Genomic DNA, 25126 nt, shown 5'->3' on the forward strand with positions numbered 1-25126 from the left:
GGTGTGGGGCGGTAGTGTGGGCCCTGTTCCTGCCCGCGCGGTGTTCCGCATTCTGCAAGCCTCCGGAGCGCACGTCGGCAGTCGGCTCCCTCGTTGACCGAATCACCGACCTCTCTCCCCAGCTGTATTTCCAAAATGTCGCTTTCTAACAAGCTGACGCTGGACAAGCTGGACGTTAAAGGGAAGCGGGTCGTTATGAGGTAATTCTGCACGTTTGCCCGCGTGCTCTCTGTGCTCTGTCGCAAACCTCTTTGGCCGGAGCCGACTTGTTCTCTCGTCTGCTCTAAGTTCTTTTAGCTTTTGGCTGGGCCCCAGGGGTCCTAGGCTTGGAGGGCGAGGCTGCTCACGGGTTTGGTGGTTTCTAGCCGCATTTTCCCCAGCCCAGAAAGCACCCGAAGTCACCCTTCGGGGATGGATCCCACTGAGGAAGGGCTGAGATTGCCGCTGGGACCCATTTTGTCCTTTTTCCTATTGGTGAAATGCAGTTCCGTTGCCTCCAGCTCCCAGTCGGCGAGATGGGACTTAATGCTTATCCTGCAAATCTCTAGGCTTCAAGGAAGGGACCTTGAAAGGTCATTTTACTTTCCCTTCCCCCACGCTCCTAGACCGTCGCAGCCAAATGAGAAACGGCCCACATCTCACAGGTTCCTGCACAAAAGGATATTTTTCCAAGAGGATGTTGATTTAACTTCAGGAGTAGACCCCCCCGCCCCCCGCCACTAAAGAATTGGGGTGGGAGGGTAGGGCGGGGCGAACTGGAGGAGGCCCTGCAGAGCTTACGTAACAGGCGTCTGCTGCCCTGCAGCGCGGTATCGTTGGACTCTTGGGCACAGGATTTGCATCAGGATTGTGACATACTAGGTAATGGTAGAGCAGGGTGTGGCTGCTCATACTTGCTGGCCTCCAATCTCATCCCCACGTGTGGCTAGAAAAGTAGAATTTTAAAATTGGGGGAAGTTTCCTCGTGCACTTTGGGTCTCTTACTCTGCGCATGTGGATCTCTAGTCACTTGCCAACACGGTTTCTCTCTTATCTGCCAGAATTGTTGGTAGAGTGGGCAGCTTTTACATTTATCCTTTTTGTCACGTGTGATATATTTGTGCATACCAGGAGCAAGGTGCAGGAGGATGAGTCGGTATGTAACTGATGGACTTGACTGTTCATATACCTTAACAGGATCCAAGAGTGGTGTTTTTGAGGGGTCATAAAGGTTTCTGTTGATAGCATTTTGCAACCTTGACCTTTTTGGGAAGTGGTTGATTGATGGGTAGGTATTTATTTGGCTGGTGTAATCTAGCCCCTTTTCCAATTTGGGCTGGTTCAAATGAGGGCTTGTGTTGGATATTAACAGACACGTAAGTCAGTAGGAGATCTCCCTTTACTCTAACTTTAAACATATGAGGACACGTTTGAGTTAGGGAACTGTATGGGTACCCTAAAAGGACATGTAGCTCTCCTCTTCTCTCTAATTTCACTTTGGTCAATATTTTTGCAGGTAACCGCTGCCCTGCTGTGGAGATAGAAGAACCCAATAATTTATGTCCATGAAAAATACCTGGTTTCCACATTTCCCCAAATGACATAGGCCTTTGTAATCTGGACAAAGTAGGAGTCACAGCCATGTTAGTACTAGAGGAGTGCCCTTTCTGGCCCTCATACAATCCTAAAAAAAGGGGATAGACCCTGTAAAAAACAGGACAGGTGGACATTGGCATGCAACTAGCTTTTAGGTTTTAATTAGTTCCTTGCATCTCCCCTGTGTTCGACGCTGATTCTTCCAGATGCATGGACCAACTAACAGACAAGGAGTGGGACATTATGCTGATAACCTTCCTGTAATTGCAGTCTTGGGCTTTATTTCCTCTCTCTCTAGGGAAACTGGCTTGAGGAAGCTAGCTGGGGGCGGGATTGGAGGAGCTGCTTAACTTTTCTCCCTCTGGACCTAATAAAGTTTCATTTAGCACACGCTAACCCAAAGCCTTGAAATGATTGGCTAGTCCTGTTTTGCTGATGGAAAATGACCTGTTCAGGGTTACTGAACTACCAAGTTGGTGGCAGAGCTAGGAGTAGAATTTAGGTCTCCTTGGCTATCAACTAGATCCTCTGAATATTCGAGACAATGACCAAGGATACGTTGAAATAGAACTTTCTCCCGTAACCTGGATACCTTCTACTTATTTAGGCTGAGGACAGGAAGTTACATGGTTCCCTGATTATTAATGTATTTCTTTTGAACAGAGAGTCACATTGTAGGCCTACTTTTTTGGAGGTGCTTAGGCAGCCATGTGGTGTCAGCTCAATTCCTTTTTGTTTCAACGTGGTGGTTGCTGGCGGTGTTTCCGGAATGGGGCTTCCTGAGTAGTGGCTGCCTCATTTGTCGTCTTTGTCCTGCAGAAGTGAACTATGGTATTTGCTGACTCTTCTGGTCCACTGGTTTGGATTGCCAAGGGAAATTGATTTGTTGAGGTAACATGGGATAGCCAGAAACCTCTGACTTGTTAATTACCAGGTTCCATCTTAGTTTTTTAGGACTCCGCAGTTGACTTTACAGCCTCTTTGAATACACTTCTGCTTATTTTTGTGGTAATTTCCTTTCTTTCTCTCATAGGTTGCCAGTCATCCTTTGCCTGCTTGTAAAGCACTTCCTTTTTGCTTGCTCCTGCCTTTTTTTTTAAACCTTACTGGTTTTCTCCAACTTGTAACTTGTAAAGAAACTGCTTTGATGTAGTGGGAAGAGAAACAGGAAAAAATTGAGAGCAGAGAAAAAGTCACTAAGACACCCACAATATCCCAGTTTTCCATCTGGGGCAGTGAAGCATTGATGGACATGGTTCCTTTGAGAGTTTTTAATGGAACTGGACCTGGGACCTGAGATTTCAGGTGATAGAGACTTGATATTCTTATTCCAGCTAAATCAGTATATTTTTTAATGTTTTATTTTGAAATAAAGATTCATGGGAGGTTACAAAGTTAGAGAGGTCTTGTGTTCAACCCATTTTCCCCCAATGGATGCATCTTACCTAATTATAGAACAATATCAAAAGTAGGAAATTGACATTGGTATAAAGTGTGTATGGTTCTATGCCATTTTATTACGTGCGTAGATTTGTGTAACCGCCACCACAATCAAGATACAGAACTATTAGATCACCACCAAGATCTCCTTCATGCTACCTCTTTATAATAATAACCACCCCCCTTCCTGACTCCTGGTAACTACTGATCTGTCCACTGTTTCTAAAATTTTGTCACTTCAAAAATACTATACAGATTGAATCACATGGTATATAACCTTTTGGGATTAACTTTTTTCACTTAGCATAATGTCCTCAAAATTTATCCACATTGTCACATGTATCAAAAGTTCATACCTGTGTATTGCTGAGTAGTATTCCATGGTGTGGTTGTATTATAGTTTGTTTAACTATCATTGAAGGATATTAGGGTTGTTTCTGATTTGGGGCTATTACAAATACAGCTGCTGTGAACATTTGTATACAAGTCTTGGTATGGACATACGCTGTCATTTTTCATGGGTAAACACCTAGGAGTGGAATTGCTGGGCCACGTCCTTTTGAGGTATCCCCAGACTGTTTTCCAAGGTGGCTGCAGCATTTCACATTTCTACCAGCAGTATTTGAGTAATCAGTTTCTCTGCTTCATTACCAGCTATTTTAGTTATTTTTCGTTCTGATGGATATGTAGTAATAACTGACTTTGTGCCTGAAGCAAAGCTCAGGGGTGTTATAAGGAAACGAAAAAAAAAAAAAAGAAAATTGTGCATATTTTATGTAAAATGGAACAAGTAGAATCTGTAGGCAAGAGCAGTTCCTGTGTTGGAGTCCTCTGAGGAGAAGCTAAAAGCAGAGCTGTTGTGAGTGTAGGAGATAAGGGGAGGTAATCCAGAGGGCATTGAGGAGAGAGTATCAACCAAGTCTAATTCATTAGTAAGCTGACACCATGGCAGCTTGGATAGATGAGACAGTTTCTTAGGTGTCTCTGTCCAAAGATATTCCTCCCTGTAAGGGTTGGGGGTAGAGAGTAGCACTGCAAGAAGTGGCTTGTGCCCATCCTTTTGCCATTAGTCCTTTTGAGCATAGGCCTTCTGGGAGGTTGCATGGGGGAAAATGACCCATGGTAATGGGATATTCTCTCTTCTTTGGAATGTACTTTAAGGCTGGCAGGCTCCTTGTTCAGGATATTTAAAGAAGACAGAGAATCAAGTGGCCTGAAACAAAGTAGAGTGTATTTCTTTCATCAGAGGCTTACTGCCTTTAATTTTGAAGACTTTAAAACATGTTTTACTATAGAATTATTTTTCCTCAGCCTACCTTTGGAAAGGCTGTTCTTCAGTGAGGTAGATTGGAGTTCAGGCCTAGTGGATATAGGAAATTGGTGGTCTTCTCAGTATGTCTGTAGGAGTTTGTAATTGCCTTAGCCTTAGAGAGGAAGGGGTATTTAAAAAGGCAGAGGAAAAAGATGGAGGCTTATAATCAAGGATAGCAGCAGTCTTCTTGATTAGGTCATACTTCACTGTAGTCCCTTTGCAAGTGATGTTAGCTGTTTTTAGTAGTGGTTGATTTACTTGTCAAATCACAGAATTACATTTTGGAGAAACATATAACAACAACACTTTTATGGCATTTACTGTGTGTCAGGTACACTTCTAAGCACTTTACAAATTGCTGACTTACTAATTCTCTCAGTAACTACGAGGTAGATACTGTCATCCCGATGAGAAAAAAATCACTTAAAAATAATCATGGCAGGCACAACTCTTAAACCTTAAAAATAGCTGCCATACATTATTGTTTTCATTCACATTGAAGTAGGCTGAGGTTCCAAGGAGTTCAGAATAATTGGTTCTTAAGAATGATAACATAGTAATCTGTTGGGTAAGAGATACTGCAGTACATTATTTTCTTGTGTCGTCTTGATTACTTCCCTTCTAATTTGCCTGTTTGTCAGGTGGGCTGGGGCACATGTCCCACCCTCTCTTCTCAGGCTTTTTGAAAGAGGCTGTCTTATGTTGTGTGTATTGCTTGAAGGACCCCTAGTCTTAAGGCCCCAGGCTTTCTCCAAAAAGAATGATTTTCTCTTAGTGTGTTTTATTTTTATTTTAATTTTTTTCTCGAGTCATGTTAGTTTCACGAGGACCCAGAAATAGTATCAAGGGAATTAGGATCAAGATGCATTCCTTATTATTCCTCACCCCTCTAGCTGCTACCCGGATACTATTGTGCCAGGCCCAGACAGATATCTTTTTAGGTGGAACTAGCTTTAGCTTCCCAGATCTTCAGGGCTAGTTCCTGTGATTTAAGTTAGGTTTTTTTTTTAAAATTCTTTTTAAAGTATGAATACATACCTAAAAGGGCACAAATCACAAGTTCAAAGAATTACCACAAAATGAGCACATTTGTATGGTCACTGAGGTTAAGAGATAGAACATTACCAGAACCCCAAAGCCTCTGGTGTCGTTATCCCAGTCACCACTCCCGCCATCCTCCCCATGACTAACCACTATTTTGACTTTTAATGCCACTGATTATTTTTAAGATGAGATTTGAATTTCTGACTTATTTAACTGGTTCATTAAAAATGCATCTCCTAGTCTTTGATGGAACAGTAAGTTGATCATGGTCTTGCATCTTTCTTTTTTAGAGTCGACTTCAATGTTCCTATGAAGAACAACCAGATAACAAACAACCAGAGGTAAGGTCCCTGCTAATCCTTGGGCTGGGTTTAAGATGTGTGTAGGTACACAGGATGAAATGTTTTTCCTTTCATATTGTATTATGGAACTGTAGCAACTTAAAACAAATGATTTTGGCTTTCTATCAACCCACTCTCTGATCTGCTTTCTTATTTATGAGAATATACAAATATAAGCAAAATCTTAAGAAAGTGATTCCCCTTCCCTTGTTTTTTGAAAATTAGAAGAATTTGGAGTTCATTTTCTTTTTTTGAGATAGGGTCTCACTCTGTCACCCAGACTGGAGTGTAGTGGTGTGATCACGGTTCACTGCAGCCTTAACCTTCTGGGCTCAAGCAGTCCTCTGGCCTCAGCTTCCCGAGGAGCTGGAACAACAGGTGCACACCACTACACCTGGTTAAATTAAAAAAAAATTTTTTTTTGTAGAGATGGGGTCTCACTATGTTGCCTAGGCTGTTCTCAAACTCCTGGACTCAAGTGATCCTCCTGCCTTGGCTTCCTAAAGTGCTGGGACCACAGGTGTAAGCCCCCATACCTGGCAGAGTTATTCATTTTTAAAGAATATAAAAGTTGGCTGGGTGCGGTGGCTCACATCTGTAATCCCAGCACTTTGGAAGGCCGAGGCAGGAGGATTGCTTGAGGCCAGTAGTTCGAGAACAGCCTGGCCAATATAGTAAGACACCATCTCTATAAAACACACACAAAAAATATAAAAATTTAAGGTTACTTGGCTTCTCTTGCAAAATGAAGAACTATGTAAGAGAAGGATTTTAAAAGTACCAGTAGTTACTAAGGTTATATGTAGTTTTACAAGCCCCCATTCAAATGGCTCAGATAAGTCAATTTTTGAGAATTTTCATTTGTTTTTGCTTCCAAAAAAACAAACAGGAAAGACTTCAGAAGTACGTTTTCAGTCAGTTTAGCTGCTCCAGTGTCTTGGATCCTAGATTCAGAAACAAATTTTAAGTGAGAGTACTGCTCTTGCTTTTGACTAGATTATAAAAGGTCTTTATTTTTGTCTTTACTTTCTTTTTAATTTTTTTAATTTTTAATTTTTGTAGATTTTATATATATATATATATGGGTTACATGAGATATTTTGATAAAAGCATGCAATACATAATCACATCAGGTTAAATGGGGTATCCATCAAGAAGGTTTTTATTTAATTTTTTTTTTTTTTTGAGACAGGGCCTCGTTCTGTCGCCCAGGCTGGAGTGCAGTGGCACGATCTTGGCTCACTGCAATCTCTGCCTCCTGGGCTCAAGCGATCCTCCCATCTCAGCCTCCCAGGGAGCTGAGACCACAGGCGTGGGCCACCACACCTGGCTACTTTTTCATATTTTTTTTGTAGAGACAGCGTTTTGCCCTTTTGCCCAAGCTGGCCTTGAGCTCCTGGACCCCGCCCACCTTGGCCTCCCAAAGTGCTGGGAATACAGGCATGAGTCACTGTGCTCCGCCTATTTTAAATTTTAAATGAAGGGTTTGTGTTGGCAAGGTGCTTTCTAATGATCTAGACCAGTGGTATCTAATAGAAATACAATGTGAGCCAAATTGTGTTAATTAAATTAAAGGGACATTTAACTTTTTTGGTACTAAGTCTTCAAGATCTGGCATGTGTTTTTATACTACAGCACATCTCAATTTGATCTAGTTATATATCTGGTACTCAACAGACACACATGACTAAATGACTGTCGTAATGGACAGTGCAGGTCTAGCCCAGAACATTTTCAGGTATTGGTCCTAGAATAGAGCCTGTCATTTTGCCAAGCACATCCCTGCTGTACCATAGTGGCAGGGTCTTTGTATAAGGCAGATCTGATCCCGCTTGATCTTCATTATTGTGCAACACACAGAAACGATTGGAAATATGCCTATCAAGTTATTTTAAGAGTAAAGAAACATGTTTGGAAATCTTTTCATTTCCGGAAATCCATGGAGTTGATTAACAAAATGAAGCATTAGAAATAATAAAACTTGCTGATAAGGGATAGTCCTGAAAACTAATTGGTTCCATTGCACAAACTTTGTACCTGATACAGATTTTTAAATTTGATATAAAGGAGTTCTTATATCTGCTAAATATTAATAACATAAGATATTTTAAAAGTATAACTTTTTTAATCATTCCATTCTTTGCTCAGATGTCATCATATCAGACTTTCCCTGGCCATCCTGTCTAAAAATCTCCTCTACCATTGTTCCCCGGTCATTTTTGTCCTCAAAAGTAGGGGAACAAAAATGGGGAACAATGGTTTGTTTTTTTTCTGTATCTCACCATCTGATATATTACATGTACGCACACACACATACATGTTTATTGTCTCTCTCCATTAGAATTTCACTTCCATGAGAACAGAGAGTTTTTAAAAAAGTTTTCTGTTTCATTCTCAGAACCTGGAATGATGCCTGGCACAAAAGAAGCATTCAATAAATATTTGATGAATAAATAAATGCTTTTCTTGATCAATTTTAATTTCTTATAAACTGGCAAAATGGCAAGTTAGTAGCAGGTTTATAACAAAACTTTTAAATGTTTAAAGGGAGTTAATTTTTTGATTAATTTATAATGTAATGAATGTGATACATTATGGAAACCAAGCTCTAGACAGTGCAATTATTTTTTCCTACATAAAAAAGTGACTTAGGATCTATTAATAGGTGCAGAAAAGTTACTACATGTTTTTTATTTTTCCCCAAATTTCCTTTGATGGTTTCAAGATTTGAGAATTTTATGTATTTTCCATAGTCATATAAGAAGTGTTTTCAGGGGTCCCCAAGATCACCCACATATCTCATGATGATTTGCTAGGACTCAGAGTTGTTCTCATGGCTAAAGTTTATTACAGTGAAAGAATGCATGACAAGATTAGGAAGAGGAAAAGACATGGGGGAGTCTAGAGAAATCCATGGGCTTCCAGTTTCCTGTGAGGGGACACATCAAGTGTTTTCCTTTCTTCAGCAGTGAAAAATGCAGTAATTGTCTGCAGTGTTTCTGCCTGGAGAAGCATGCTAGAGACTCAGATCCCAAGATTTTTGTTGGGAACTGGTAACATAGGGATCCTCTGCCTAGCAACTACCAAAATTACAAACTTCTGCTGGGTGTGGTGGCTCACGCCTGTATTCCCAGCAGTTTGGGAGGCTGAGGCCTGCAGATAACTTGAGCCCAGGAGTTCAAGACCAGCCTGGACAACATGGTAAAACCCCTACAAAAAATACAAAAATTAGCTGGGCATGGTGGTGCATTCCTGTAGTTCCAGCTACTTGGGAGGCTGAGGTAGGAAGATGACCTAAGCCCCTGGGGAGGTTGAAGCTGCAGTGAGCTGAGATTGTGCCTCTCCACTCCAGCCTGTTGGGTGACAGAGTGAGACCCTGTCTCAACAAAAAAAGGAAAAGAAAAAAAAAATTCTAGACTTCTAGAGTGGGGCAGGTGTTCAGCATAAATCACCATGTTTGTATAGACGGTCTAGGAAGAGTGAATAGCCCTTGTTGGTCTTGTCAGTTAACTTTGAAAGCCAAGTTCCCAGATACCAGCCAGGATCTAATCTTGCAGACAGGTCCTTCTGTAGATAGTAGCCTCAGGCCTGCTGTGTTAACTCTTGTCTGTGAAAGGGGCAGATACATAATGAGATTGTACAATCCTAGGTGGAGGGTTGGCATTGCATTTAACTTCTTAAGGACCACCATTGAATTACTGATAGTAGATTTGAAGGAACTTGGAGAAGAAAAGGAGCTTTATGCTTTATGAGGTTATCAATAAGCTAGTTCCCACTAATTTCTAGGAGTAACTTCATTCTGTTTGTTGTCTCTCTTTGGTTGCAGGATTAAGGCTGCTGTCCCAAGCATCAAATTCTGCTTGGACAATGGAGCCAAGTCGGTAGTCCTTATGAGCCACCTAGGCCGGCCTGATGGTGTGCCCATGCCTGACAAGTACTCCTTAGAGCCAGTTGCTGTAGAACTCAAATCTCTGCTGGGCAAGTAAGTGCCAGGCTCTGGTGCTGGTAGACTTTGTGGCGGGGGAAGTTGTCAAGCACGTTGTTACTGGTTTTTAACTTTCATACTGCTCAAGTGTCTTCATCTCTTCCTCTTCTCAGGGATGTTCTGTTCTTGAAGGACTGTGTAGGCCCAGAAGTGGAGAAAGCCTGTGCCAACCCAGCTGCTGGGTCTGTCATCCTGCTGGAGAACCTCCGCTTTCATGTGGAGGAAGAAGGGAAGGGAAAAGATGCTTCTGGGAACAAGGTAGGACCTGTGATTTTGACATTATTGGGGGTGAGGGCCTGAGTCTGTAAGAGACTGTGGTTGAAGAATAGAGAAAGCTCATTTATTTTAACTTAGACACCTTTTATTGAAGCATACAATGCCGACACAGCTTGATGGGTTATCTCAAAGTAAACACACTTGTGTAACCACCACCCAGGTCAAGGAATAGAATATTACCAGCATCCCAGAAGCCCTCCTTCATGTTCAGGTGGTGTTTAAATATGTTTGAAAAATATGTGAACACCTTTGAGGTGAAAGAGTATTCAGTGAATATGATGGTCATGATGATGTCACCTTGGATTTAAGGCATTTTCTTAAGATGTGTAAAGTATGTTCCTTTAAATCTCTCTTTAAGATAGAGGTACAGGTATCGACTTATTTCATAAAGAAACTAAGTCTCAAAAAAAAAAAAACTTAAGTTTCTGAAAGGCAGTCATACGATTAAAGTTAGAGGCAGTGGTGCTGTTGGTCTTTAGAGCTCAGCCCATTCAATCAGCAAACTTTTTCTATAAATGGCCAGATAGTTAATATTTTAGGCTTTCTGTGTTGTGCAGTCACTTCCATCTGCATATAGTCTCTGTTGGAACTACTCACCTCTGCCGATGTTGTGCAAAAGCAGCCATAGATAACTCACCAAACAGATTACTGTGAACTGACAACCAGAATTCAAATATTCAATGATAAAACTGGCTCTTTGCAGATGATTTTGAATTTGCCCATTGACTAGAAAGGAAGCTGAAGGCATTTTTTAGTACTTTCCACTATTCTGGTCTTTAGTATCTCGGAGAACAAGATGCTCTGAGTCTAGTGTCTCAGTCTCCTTTGGCTTCTCACATTTATTAAGGTCATTGGGAGTGCCTGCTTTCAAGCAGTTTCTTTTTTTAGCACCAAAGATGCTGGTCTTGCCTTATCCTGCTTTTGGCATGGTCTTGCTGCAGTATTAGGAGTCAAATGCTGACCTAAAATTTGGTGTCCTTTTAATCTGGAACTCATGATGCATGAACTCTAGGGCTTAGAAGTGGCAGGAGGCAAAGGGCATATTGAAGCAAAACTTTTTATTTAGGAAATGATGAGCTGACTATGTAGTCTATGACTTTTTTAGTAAACTGACTTGACATTCACTATCTAATGGCTTTTAATACCTGAAATTTCAGGAGTCAGTCCCAAGTTCAAAATGGATTAAAAAAACAGTGAGGCTGGGTGCGGTGCCTCATGCCTGTAATCCCAGCGCTTTGGGAGGCCGAGGTGGGTGGATCACAAGGTCAGGAGTTCGAGACCTGCCTGGCCAACATGGTGAAACCCTGTTTCTACTAAAAATACAAAAAAGTCGGGCATGGTGGCAAGTGCCTGTAATTCCAGCTACTCCGGAGGCTGAGGCAGGAGAATTGCTTGAACCCAGGATGTGGAGGTTGCAGTGAGCCAAGTTTGCAGCACTGCATTCCAGCCTGGGCAACAGAGCAAGACTCTGTCTCAAAAAAACCACAAAAACAAAGTGAGGATATGAGGACATAAACATTTTCCCTTTATCCAAAGTGCCCACATTGATCTTTTAAGGGCCTTCTCTTTCTTCTAGTTATTTGCAGATCAGTAAATGAGAAATGGGTTCTGATTGATATTATTTCCATGGCACCTTTTTTCATGAAGAGCTTTCAATTTACCCTGTTTTTCCTTAAATATCTTTTTAAAGAGACAGGGTCTTGTTCTGTTGCCCATGGTGGAGTGCAGTGGCATGACATTAATTATTGCAGCCTCAAACTTGAGGGCTGAAGTGATCCTCCTGCCTCATCCTTGTAGGGAGCTAGGACTACAGGCACATACCACCATGTCCAACTGACCTTTACTTTTTTTTTTTTTTCCTGGTAGAGACGGGGTCTTGCTATGTTGCCCAGGCTCATCTCGAACTCCTGGGCTTAAGTGATCCTCCCATATTGGCCTCCCAAAGTGTTGGGATTATAGGTGTGAGCTACTGCCCCTGGCCTCCTTAAATAGTTCGTAAATGGAGGGGTTATTATGCCTTTTTGATAGAAGGGAAAATTTCAGAGCAACTTCCCAAAGGTGACACAATGAATTAGTGTCAGAGCTGGACATAGAACTCAGGTCTCCTTACATTTGAGCATTGTTATCATTACTACATGTGTCATCTTCCAATCACTAGTGGCAGATGTTATTGTAGTCTACAGAGCTTATGGGAGTGCCACAATCTTCAATTTTAGCATTAGTGCCTCTGCAATTCTTTGGATCTTTAGGGAAAAGCCCCATTTTTTATGGCAGTCCCCTTCACCTCCTTGATACATAGGAGCATAGGAGTGGGCAGTGACTTAAAATGAACATCTGCTTTGTGCTATGTACTCTTCTGTGTCCTGTCCCCTTTCATCTGGCTTGCTTCCTGTGCCTCTTTGCTTAATCTCCTGCCAGAGACTCTCTGGTTTGCTTATCCTCCCATCTTGCTTTCTGTCCCCTTTGGGGTATGCCTTGATGGCAAGCTGACATTTTAAAGCTCTATGTTTAACTTCTACATTTTCTTCCTCTCTTTTTGTAGAAGTATATTTCTTGTTTTCTCAGATGCCTAGCTTCCAGAGAAGGTCATAAAATACCTTTTTGTCAATGTGAAGTGTTTCTGAGGTTCTTTTCTGTTGTCATGTTTCCATCTGCCTTCTCTGTCCCAGCTTGCCCTTGTTGCTTTTATGAGGAATATGTGTGAGAGCCCCTTGCACTTCGCAGAAAGGCCTTGGTAGCCAGCAGCTTGAGTCAAGTATGATACTATCACAAGGAGAATGTTTAAAATGAGGAACTAAGTCAAGGAGAGGGAAGGATAATCAGAACCTTGAGCTGAAGGCTGGGGAGAGGCTAGTGGGGTGTGGTTAACTTCATGTGATTAGAGGTAAAGCCATCGTTCAGGAATATTAGGTTTGCAATTTGAGGGAAGTTAAGGGAGAGCAGAAACATGCAGAAATGACCAAAGTATCTGGAATATTTGGAAGAAAGAACACATCCTACTGCTGGTTGTAAAAAATCGCTGTCCCACCTACTCAGGGTCTTTAGAGATGTTCAAGAGGACTCTTGGTGTATGAAATGCTTTTATAGTTGTCTTTGGAGCCATCACATTTTCTGTTTTTGTTTTTCTCTATAGGTTAAAGCCGAGCCAGCCAAAATAGAAGCTTTCCGAGCTTCACTTTCCAAGCTAGGGGATGTCTATGTCAATGATGCTTTTGGCACTGCTCACAGAGCCCACAGGTACCAAGAACCTTGTAGACTACCACACTGAGAACAGTATTCCTATTTACTTGAGTAGCCCAAGCTCTGGGTTGTTTTTGGAGAGTTTTGTATTATACTGTAATCCTTTCAGCTTCTCTAATTGGAACTGCCACTATGGCTCTTGTTGAGTAGCTCTCATCCAAAGAGGAAATAAAGGTAAAAAAATGTTGGTAATTGTAGGGCTTTTTGTGGAGTTTCAGGAAGAGGTTGCTCTTTCTCACCTTAGATATTTTGTACAGAGTTATCCTTTTATGAACGTTATAAGATCAGACTCTCATGCTGTCAGTAGGAAGCAAATTGAGGAATCCTCTTCTGCTATCATCAACCGGCCAATTACTTACTGTGATTTGCCCTTTGGCCTGCCTGAAGAGTGTTAACTGGGTATCTTAAATTCTACCTAAGTTCATTACTTTTTTACTCTTTCCCTTTGACCTTGCACTATTAGTTAAAAATCTTATCTTGTACCTAAGTGTTTTTTGTTGCAATGTAGGGATGAAAACCATGATTTCTTGCAGTCCAGAAGTAGAAATATTTTAGTGATAAGGAGCTGGCCTCTAGGACTAGGAGGAATGATAGGGATTGACTAGAATCTGAATGTCTTTGATCTTTTCTAGCTCCATGGTAGGAGTCAATCTGCCACAGAAGGCTGGTGGGTTTTTGATGAAGAAGGAGCTGAACTACTTTGCAAAGGCCTTGGAGAGCCCAGAGCGACCCTTCCTGGCCATCCTGGGCGGGTATGAAGAACTCTTTAAGATCATGCTTTAAGTATTGTTTGCCTGGTAGTAGGCCATAACTTGGGTGGTTTATTGTCATATAGCTCAGTCACACTGGGTAACTGAGGAGAATTTAATAAAGGAACTACAGGCTGGGCATGGTGGCTCACACCTGTAATCCCAGCACATTGGGAGGGCCCAGGCAGGAAGATTGCTTGAGCCCAGGAGTTTGAGATGGGCCCAGACAACAAAGTGAGATCTCATGTCTACAAAAAAAAATTAGCTGGGCGGTGGTGGTATGCACCTGTGGTCCCAGTTACCAGAGAGGCTGAGGTGGGAGGATCACTTGAGCCTGGGAGGTAGAGGCTGCAGTGCACTGTGATCACGCCACTGCACTCCAGCCTGGGTGACAGAGCAAGACCGTTTCTAAATAAATAAATAAATAAATAAATAAACAAACAAACGAACGAACTACATACAGAGGTGTGGGTAGGGTTCAGGGAAACCACAAAGGGACAGTACAGTAATTTGGGGCTACCAACAGGCATCACCATTTCTATGCCTGAAGGGACAAAGGGAGGGGAATGGTTATCAGAATTCAGAGAGGAAAGTTGGTGTGGAGAGAGCTATCTGATGGGAACTGTAGCCTTTGGTCAAAGGACACAAGATCTGGTAGGGAGGGGGAGCCAGGGCAATAAATATTCTGATCTCCTTTCAGTCTCCTGCTGCTGCACCCCCTCCCACCCTCAATTTGGCTGAAACCCAAATGGAAGCCAGAGCGCAAGAAAGCTCCTTGATGTAGTCCATGCAGGTCCTCCTCCTGTGATGCAACAGGGTAGAGAAGGATAGAAGATGGCTCTGCAGGGAAGAATGGGAAAGATCCACCATAGGTGCTCATTTAGCAATTTTGAAGTGCTTGAGCCTTATAACCTGGCAGGGTATAACTATATAACCTGGCAGGGTATAACCATATAATCTGGCAGGGTATAACCATATAATCTGGCAGGGTATAACCATATAACCTGGCAGGGTATAACTATGAAAACCTCTTCATATGTGTTTAATATATAATTTAGACCTCATTTCTCCAGATTACATACCTATTTTATCTTTTCTCCTATAGGGAAAGGCAGCAAGTAGATAATGATTTTCCAATGGGTTAGTTAAAAATAGAAATTTCAGAATTGAGGGTTGAGAGGAGGATAAATTTTAGGTGAGAGAGCTAGCACTGCTTGGATAAGACAATTTCCTGTGACTTGGTGTGGTGATCTAGGTAGCAGTCTCTTTATGGCTGGAGGCCCATTACCCTTCTATGAGCAGGGTTTTTTCCCCCAGGGGAGTGAACATACTATCTCCTGATGAAAATTGACTCTGGAGTTGGGTGTCAATTTCAGGTAGCATAGTTGCTTATACTGTTTGGCTCTGTGTCTCCACCCAAATCTCATCTCGAATTATCCCCACGTGTTGTGGGAGGGACCTGGTGATTGGATCAAGGGGGCGGTTCACCCCATACTGTTCTTGTGATAGTGTTGTTTGGCAGTTCCACCCTCGCTCGCCTCTCTCTTGCCACCATGTAAGATGTGACTTGCTTCCCCTTTGCCTTCCGCCACGATTGTAAATTTCCTGAGGCCTCTCCAGCCATGCGGAACTGTGAGTCAATTTAACCTTTCTTTATAAATTACCAAGTCTCAGGTAGTCCTTTATAGCATTGTGAAAATGGGCTAATACAGTTGCTTTCTAGGCTTTATGAGCCCAGTTTCAGAGTCTTAAAAATAACTCAGGTAGATACAGGTTGTTGTGTCTTGTTCTTGGAAAAAGGTATCTATTCCTGGGCTTTGTTCTTCAACTTTCTGTAGACCTGGAATATGGGAGTGAGTGCCACCTAGTGCTACCTTATGGTTAGGTTTTTAGGTTCAGACTGAAATAGCTGTTACGGGGAATTGGATGTGAGATTTTTTTGCCACCTTTCTTGTAGTGTAGTTTCCCTAGGCCATTAACAGTTTTTGGGAAAACTTTTATATTTTATTAAACAAACTTTATTGTAAGAAACACTCATATGTATGGAAGTTGAGAGAATAGTGTAGTAAACTCCCAGGTATCCATTACCCTGTTTCAACAATTAATTGACAGTTTTGCTAATCTTGTTTCTTTTATGTCCTAACTCTGTTTTGTCAGGAATGTACACACACACACACACACATATATATACACACACACACGTATATATTCCTGACAAAGTGAATACAAGTGAAATAAATATGTGTATATATGTGTGTGTGTGTGTGTACATATATAGATATTTTAGATATATAGACATATCTATATATCTAGATCTAGATCTATATATAGATTTTTTTTTTTCTGATACAGGGTCTCACTCTGCTGCCCAGGCTGAAGTGCAGTGGCATGATCACAGCTCACTGCAGCTTTGACCTTCCAGGCTCAAGCGATCCTCCCACCTCAGCCTCCCTAGTACCTGGGACTACAGGCATGCATCACCATGCCTGGCTAATTTTTGAATCTTTTTGTAGAGACAGGGTCTCACTGTGTTGCCCAGGCTGGTCTCGAACTCTGGGGCTCAGGCGATCTGCCTGCCTTGGTCTCCCAAAGTGTTGAGATTACAGGCGTGAGCTTGTGCCCTGCTGTCAGGAATGTTTTTAAGTTAGCCTTAGACATCATATACTTTCACTTACATAGGTTGAGTATCTTTTATCTGAAATGCTTGGGACCATAAATGTTTTGGATTTCAGATTTATTTTTGGATTTTGGAATATTTGCATGGTACTTACCAGTTGAGCATCCTAATCTGAAAATATGAAATCTGAAATGTTCCAATGATATTTCCTTTGAGCTCAAACAGTTTTGATCTTGGAGGATTTTAGATTTTTGGATTAGGGATACTCAACCTGTAATACTCCTGTATACATCTTGTAACTGCTAAGCAGATTTCTTTTAAATAATCACCATATTATACCTAACAAATTTAGCAGTTTTGTTACTATCATCCAATACCCAATCTGTATTCAGATGTTCTTGATCATCTCAGAAGTGTCTTTTTACAGTTGGTTTGTTTGAATAAGGATTCAAATGAAGTCCATGCATTGCCTTTGGCTGTTAGGTATCTCTTGTAATAATCTCCTATTTATTACTTTCATTCTGTTGATTTGTTGAAGAAACAGGCATTTGAGCTGTAAGCTATTCTTTAGAAGAAATTGAACTCCTTTCTAACTGCTTTCTTCCCTTTGTGTGTGTATGTGTGTGTGTGTGTGTGTGTGTATTTAAAACAATCTATCTTTACCCTTGGTGGTAACCAATCTTTACAACTGAAATAAATAGTAAATAGTTTCTTGCCATCTGTTCACCCACATCACTGTTGTTTCATACCTCCTTTTCACAAATCCTAGCATAGGGTTTCTCACTGGATAGGCATTATCTTGTTTATTGAATGAAGAAGGAAACAGACACAAGGTGGTTTGTCCACGTAAGTGGGATTTAGTTATATGGGAATGTTTATGGAAGGCAGGCTATTACTTTGTTTCTCTTTAGTTTGGATCTTTTTTGTCTCATAGGGAGATGCAAGATACATGTGTATTTATCTTATTTCCATGTACTAGAAAATAAGATCCCAAAGGGTAGGGATCTTTCTGTTGCCTTTGCCCTGTGATGTTTCTCAAAGACCTAGAATAGTGCTTGGCACAGAGTAGGTGCCCAGTAAATGTGTTGAATTGGGTGACCCAATAAAAATAAATGCCATAAAGAAAATGTCCCAGGCTGGGCATGGTGGCTTAGGCATGTAACCCTAGTGCTTTGGAAGGCCAAGGCAGGAGGATCACTTGAGCTTAGGAGTTTGAAACTAGCCTGGGCAACATAGTGAGACCTTGTCTCTACAAAAAAATTTAAAAAGAAAAATTATCCAGGGGTAGTGTTGTACGCCTGTGGTCGCAGCTACTTGAGAGGCTGAGGCAAGAGGATTGCTTGAGCCTAGGAGTTCCAGGTTACAGTGAGCTATGATTGTACCACTGCACTCCAGCCTCGGCAACAGAGTGAGACTTTGTGTTGAAAAGAGAGAGAGAAAAAAATGTCCCAGCAACTGAGCATAGGGTATGACTTTAGGAATATATATTTTTGTTCAGTATATATTTATTTAGTATACAGTCCAGTCAATCCCTGCTCTAAGGTTAGGATAATTCTGAGTGGCTCTGGGATCCCACAATTAGCAATCGTGCTTAGATACAATTAGCAATCTTGATGCTCTGAATTTGTGTGTGTGTGTGTGTGTGTGTGTGTGTGTGTGTGTGTGTGTTGGGGAATGTGCAAAATAGATGTGGAACCCATAGTTTCCTTAGACAAGAGTAGGTCTTCTGAGCCCTGCTTAAAAAAAGAATATGGATTTAAATCTGTTGTCCATCAGCTTCTAGGTAGAATTAAAAAAAAATGTATTGATGGTAAGTGGGGTGAGGAATTTTTAAAAAGATACACTGATGTCTGGAGCCATACCTTAAAAGGATTTCTTAGAAATGGATTGAGTTTTTGGGTTGGAGAAACATAGGGCAAAGTTAGGCAGTACTTTTGTCACTTTGAGACTTTCTCTGTTCCTGTGCCTTGAAATAGAAACTCAGTTTCTATGTAATACCACTTCTCTAGTCCATTCTTCTTTAAGTGATGATTCTTGCTTTCTCTTGTAGAGCTAAAGTTGCAGACAAGATCCAGCTCATCAATAATATGCTGGACAAAGTCAATGAGATGATTATTGGTGGTGGAATGGCTTTTACCTTCCTTAAGGTGCTCAACAACATGGAGGTAGGAAACAAATGCCAAGTGGATGTGAAATAGCTCTCCATGATAATAGCAGGTTGTATAAATGTAAAAAGAAAACAGTCTTTTGACATGAGCCCTGAAAATTCCCATTTTTATTTATTTTGGCAAGTCTTTCGTCTTTGCATTGTTCCTTTATATTGTATTGTGTCTGGTTCCTGTCTGCTTTGTGAGGCAGTCTTGTTCTTAGTATAGATGCTGACCTCCATCATTTTGGCTCCCCTGTGTAGATTGGCACTTCTCTGTTTGATGAAGAGGGAGCCAAGATTGTCAAAGACCTAATGTCCAAAGCTGAGAAGAATGGTGTGAAGATTACCTTGCCTGTTGACTTTGTCACTGCTGACAAGTTTGATGAGAATGCCAAGACTGGCCAAGCCACTGTGGCTTCTGGCATACCTGCTGGCTGGATGGTGAGTCACTTGAGTGGGTTGGTAGTGTGAGTGAACAGAAACTCTGTGGTGTCATTTATTCATTGATTCAGCCAATCAACAAGCATTTTAAAACAATCTCTATAGGAGATCTGTCAGAGAGGGCTCTGCATGTTGCAGTGAGTCCCTCATGGAAGAATCCATGGGAGAAAAGCAGTGCTATTGGATTACTGGCCTTCAGTAATGCAGTAATGTGTTGCAAAACTTTGTTGTTGTTGTTTTTTTTTTTTTTTTTGAGACAGAGTCTCGCTGTGTCACCAGGCTGGAGTGCAGTGGCATGATCTCGGCTCACTGCAACCTCTGCCTCCCAGGTTCAAGTGATTCTCCTGCCTAACCCTCCCCAGTAGCTGGGACTACAGGTGTGCACCACCATGCCCAGCTAATTTTTGTATTTTTCATAGAGACGGGGTTTCACCATGTTGGTCAGGATGATCTCAATCTCTTGACCTCATGATCCACCTGCTGCGGCCTCCCAAAGTGCTGGGATTACAGGCGTGAGCCACTGTGCCCGGCCCATTTTTAGTTTTATCTGTTTTTTCTTCATCTGTTTAATGTGTATTAAGTACTTACTGCGTACTGGAGATAGTGTCATGTACTTTCATGGTTTGGGTTGTTTTGGATTATGTTGCTATCTAGAAAGCTATATAAGAAAACTTTCTCATATGAAAAAATTAAGTATACTGATTACAAGCAGGGAGAAATGTAAGTGTATATTAAAGACTAATATAGTTGATTTTAGGGTGCTCCAAATATCATTTTGATTGCTGTATAAAATTGTATCATGTTTTTACATGCTAGTTTGCTTATTTTTCTTTTCAGGCATTCACGTATTATTTAGTTCAGTGTTTCTCAAAGTATGTTCCTAAGACCAGCAGTATCAGTATCATTTTTGGAACTTGTTAAAAATGCAAGTTCTTGGGTCCCACCCCAGACCTACCGAATCAGGAACTGAGGGTGGGGCCAAACAGTCTGTTTGAATAAGCCCTCCTGGTGATTCTCATGCATGGCAAAGTTTGAGTACTACTGATCTAGTTTACTGTCATTCCCAACACTATTGACATCTGTTGTTTTGTGGGGGACTGTTGAATTGTAAGGTTGTTTAAAGCATCCTTGGCCACTAGATGCCAGTAGCACCCTCCCAAGTTGCAACAACAATATTTCTAGACATTGCCACATGCCTATCTATTATGAAGGGGCAGAACTGACCTGGTTGAGAACCATTGATCTAGTTTTCACTAACATAAATAGTGTGGCTAAGAATGTCTTTATTAAATAACTTTTGAGGTTTTCCGTTAGACTTGATCTTCCATACAGTAGAATTTTTGAGTATAAAGGGCATGAACAGGTTTATAAAGACTGAAGGGTACTATTTGTTTCTAGAAGAAACTTTGGTGTGCAGCCCTGAGTTCTGGTCTTGGTGGAGGTGGTGTTTAAGTAGCTTTTCTTGATAGCTCATCTTCTCTTTCACCTCTACCCCTCAGGGCTTGGACTGTGGTCCTGAAAGCAGCAAGAAGTATGCTGAGGCTGTCACTCGGGCTAAGCAGATTGTGTGGAATGGTCCTGTGGGGGTATTTGAATGGGAAGCTTTTGCCCGGGGAACCAAAGCTCTCATGGATGAGGTGGTGAAAGCCACTTCTAGGGGCTGCATCACCATCATAGGTAAGCGGTCCTATACAAAGCTAATACCCATATAAGCTGGCAGAATTCTGATCAGAGGAAGGTGGAATGGAGAACTTCTTCTATGTCTCTTTATTCTGGGTAAATGTTAAGAGGTAAACAGGTAGGTAATTTACAGAGGAGCCTCTTGGTAAGATAGAGTTGGGGGTTTATCAGCTACCTTTTGGGTTGGGGAGCACACTGCCTTACAGTTTTGGTGCCAATCCCTTTTTTTTCTTTTCTCTCTTTTCCCTTTTTACCTGGCTTTCATTCAACAGGTGGTGGAGACACTGCCACTTGCTGTGCCAAATGGAACACGGAGGATAAAGTCAGCCATGTGAGCACTGGGGGTGGTGCCAGTTTGGAGCTCCTGGAAGGTGAGGGTCTTCTGTTTTTTGGCTTGTTTGGGATAAGGGTGGACTGTGCAGTGAGAGGTGGGTAGAATGGAGTGGAGAAAGTTAGAAGGTAGTGTTGTCATTAGCAGTCATTACTACCTGGGCAGTACAGAGGAACTTCAGATAAAGCTCCTGGCATCCACTGAGGCGGGGAGGGACAGATAGAAACTTGGTCTGAGAGTTATGGTCTAGTAGACCTGGAATCCACAATGTAAAAGTTGGCCAGCTCCTGGCCATATATCCTAAAAAAGAGCTGGCATGTTATTGGGAAGATAAAGTGGGGGAAATCTGGCTTACTGGGCCCTATAGTAATGCTGTCTATGTATGTGTGCTCTCTCAAAAACAGGTAAAGTCCTTCCTGGGGTGGATGCTCTCAGCAATATTTAGTACTTTCCTGCCTTTTAGTTCCTGTGCACAGCCCCTAAGTCAACTTAGCATTTTCTGCATCTCCACTTGGCATTAGCTAAAACCTTCCATGTCAAGATTCAGCTAGTGGCCAAGAGATGCAGTGCCAGGAACCCTTAAACAGTTGCACAGCATCTCAGCTCATCTTCACTGCACCCTGGATTTGCATACATTCTTCAAGATCCCATTTGAATTTTTTAGTGACTAAACCATTGTGCATTCTAGAGTGCATATATTTATATTTTGCCTGTTAAAAAGAAAGTGAGCAGTGTTAGCTTAGTTCTCTTTTGATGTAGGTTATTATGATTAGCTTTGTCACTGTTTCACTACTCAGCATGGAAACAAGATGAAATTCCATTTGTAGGTAGTGAGACAAAATTGATGATCCATTAAGTAAACAATAAAAGTGTCCATTGAAACCGTGATTTTTTTTTTTTTCCTGTCATACTTTGTTAGGAAGGGTGAGAATAGAATCTTGAGGAACGGATCAGATGTCTATATTGCTGAATGCAAGAAGTGGGGCAGCAGCAGTGGAGAGATGGGACAATTAGATAAATGTCCATTCTTTATCAAGGGCCTACTTTATGGCAGACATTGTGCTAGTGCTTTTATTCTAACTTTTATTTTTATCAGTTACACATGATCATAATTTAAAAAGTCAAGGCTTATAACAAAAAAGCCCCAGCCCATTCCTCCCATTCAAGATTCCCACTCCCCAGAGGTGACCACTTTCAACTCTTGAGTTTTTCAGGTATATACCTCCATGTTTCTAAGTAATATGCTTATATTGTTCACTTCTTTTTTTTTTATTTTTTAAAGAAATCTATTTCATACCATGGAGGAAGGCTCTGTTCCACATATATTTCCACTTCTTCATTCTCTCGGTATAGTTTTGTCACAATTATAGATTAGATCAAAAGTCTACATAACTAATACAGCTGAGCTATGTAGTATGCTATGATTAAATTTACTTATGTAACTTTTATTGTCTTTGGCATTAACAGTGTTTCAAAAAATTTTCTGTGTATACCCATCAGTGATTCATTCCCAAATCTTCTAGAAGCATAAGTGTCTCAATATATTAAAACATATTGAATAATCCTTGTTAGAGTTATCCCTGCAGGAGTCCTTAGTGCTCCTTTATCCAATTTGTACTTGATGCCCTCTAGGCAGGGTGTACAGCTAGCTGTTGCTCTGGTATTTCCTATAACCTTCTTGGGGATTTCTTTTACCTCCTGTGTTAGACTCCTGTTTTCTGGATTCCCCCTTTTCCCTCTTTCTTGGTCTACTTTTTGTAGAACACAAGACTCTACTAGCTTCCTGAGAAAGGGTGCCTGGGAGGCAAAATCTCTAAGACTTTGTAAGTCTGAAAATGTCTTTATTCGACCCTTATACTTGATTCCTAGTTTGGCTATATATAGAATTTTAGCCTGAGTATCACTTTTTGAGACTCGAAGCCACTGTTTCATTGTCACTATTGAGAATCTAAATGGCCATTCGGATTCTTTCATCATCTTTATAATTTTACCTTCCTATTTCTTTCCTGTCCTTTTAATGGAGTTTTGGGAGAGAGCAGAGGTAAACATGATTTGAAAAAGCCATGTCTGACCAGAAATTCTGTGCTGGAAAGATATGTATTTCACCTTTAGGGACAAAGAAATAAACTTTTGGACAGGACCACAGAGCTAGTAAGTAACAGCAGGGATTCAAGTCCAGGTTTGTCTGGTTCCAGTGGCTGATGCTTTTCCAATGTGCCTCCGTCCCTGACATGATGCTTCTAGGCTATAGATGCTTCTAGACTCTATCCCTGACATGATGCTTCTAGACTATTTTGTTTAACCCTGGATAGAATAGCAAAAGAAAATTTTGGTGGTTGCTCTAAACAAAACAGAAATTTGAAAGCTCAAGTTTTTTCTTCATTTGTATTTTAGTTAATACTGTACCCATATTTGTAGTTAATTTTAAATTGTACCATGTTTCTGCATACCTCTATGGGTACTCAGGAATTCTAGTCCAATTTTTGTGACTTTTTCCTACTGATTACCTTTCCTCCAACGTTTTAAAAATTATTTCAAATGGAACTGAAAGAAGCATAAACTCCCATAAACCCAGCACCTAGACTCTACAATTGCCAACATTATCTATCCAACAATCTCTGACTGTACCTTTTAAGTACTTTCTACTGGACTGTTTCCAGGATCACCCCTCATTTATTTGGGTTGTTAACCTAAAGAATGAATGGGGGAATCTCCAGTCATAAACAACTTGTCAATTAGGCAAATATTTGAGTTCCTTCTATGTGCTTAAAGACGTGATAGAGGGAATATAAGAGCATTTATGTTCTGAAGGAATTTTTAACCTAACCAAAGAAGATAGTAGATAACTTGTGTGCATATAAGCTAGAACAGTATAAGGGGCCGGGCATGGTGGCTTACGCCTGTAATCCCAGGACTTTGGGAGGCCAAGGCGGGCAGATCACCTGTCAGGAGTTTGGGACCAGCCTGGCCAACATGGTGAAACCCCGTTTCTACCAAAAATACAAAAATTAGCCGGGCGTGGTGGCGTGTGCCACTGTAGTCCCAGCTATTCAGAAGGCTGAGGCAGGAGAATCACTTGAACCCGGGAGGTGGAGGTTGCAGTGAGCTGAGATCACGCTACTGCATTCCTGCTTGGGCGACAGAGTGAGACTCTGCCTCAAAACAAAAACCCCACAAAACAGTATAAGGATGTGCTTTCTAATTTGGAATTATGAATTATTGGTAAAATATTGCAAAGGTGTATGCTTTAAGTTGTAAATTCACCTTTAACCCTAGACTATATATGTGTGTTTATATGCAGAAAAAAATAATTCCCATGTCGTAAGTGAACAATTTGGTTCTTTAGCTCAGTGTTTTCCTGTTTTCTTCATTTCCAAAATTTCCCTCTAGCACAGGGGTTTACACATGATCAAAAAGGAGTATACAATGAAGACACCTTCCTCAGTCCCCTACCTACCAGTTTCCCTCCCCAGAAGCAACCTCTGGAAGACCAGTTTCTTTCAATCTAAGGCTATTTAATATACATTAAGAGGCCGGGCGCAGTGGCTCACGCCTGTAATCCCAACAACACTTTGGGAGGCCCAGGCAGGCGGGTCATGAGGTCAGGAGATTGAGACCATCCTGGCTAACACGGTGAAACCCTGTCTCTACTAAAAATACAAAAAATTAGCTGGGCGTGATGGTGGGCGCCTGTAGTCCCAGCTACTCGGGAGGCTGAGGCAGGAGAATGGCGTGAACCTGGGAAGCGGAGCTCGCAGTGAGCCGAGATCACGCCACTGCACTCCAGCCTGGGCAACAGTGAGACTCTGCATAAAGAGCATACCCATGTGTGTACCTATCTATCTATCTATCTATCTATCTATCTATCTATCTATCTGTATATAGATATATTAAAATGTAAATGGTGGCATACCTGCTGTTCTGTAGTTGATTAGTGTTTTCTTTC

At 41.3% G+C, this 25126-nt stretch overlaps 1 protein-coding gene across 1 annotated transcript, besides 1 other annotated feature; it reads left to right on the forward strand.

Annotated features, from left to right (window-relative positions):
* Positions 43–25090, forward strand: PGK1 (phosphoglycerate kinase 1). The gene is made up of 11 exons (NM_000291.4): positions 43–200; positions 5662–5712; positions 9539–9694; positions 9811–9955; positions 13107–13210; positions 13846–13965; positions 18630–18744; positions 18990–19169; positions 20669–20846; positions 21122–21220; positions 21585–25090. The coding sequence occupies exons 1-11, from the start codon at positions 136–138 to the stop codon at positions 21623–21625; spliced, it is 1254 nt and encodes a 417-aa protein (NP_000282.1). The 5' UTR covers positions 43–135; the 3' UTR covers positions 21626–25090.
* Positions 2370–2459: an enhancer, noted in NCBI's record as "active region_29784". NCBI's record gives its function as "activates an Ori minimal core promoter by ATAC-STARR-seq in GM12878 lymphoblastoid cells {active_cell/tissue: GM12878}" and the evidence as "EXISTENCE:reporter gene assay evidence [ECO:0000049][PMID:35858748]".

The sequence above is a fragment of the Homo sapiens genome, chromosome X, assembly GCF_000001405.40.
Source record: "Homo sapiens chromosome X, GRCh38.p14 Primary Assembly".
In the NCBI taxonomy this organism is placed as follows: Eukaryota; Metazoa; Chordata; class Mammalia; order Primates; family Hominidae; genus Homo; species Homo sapiens.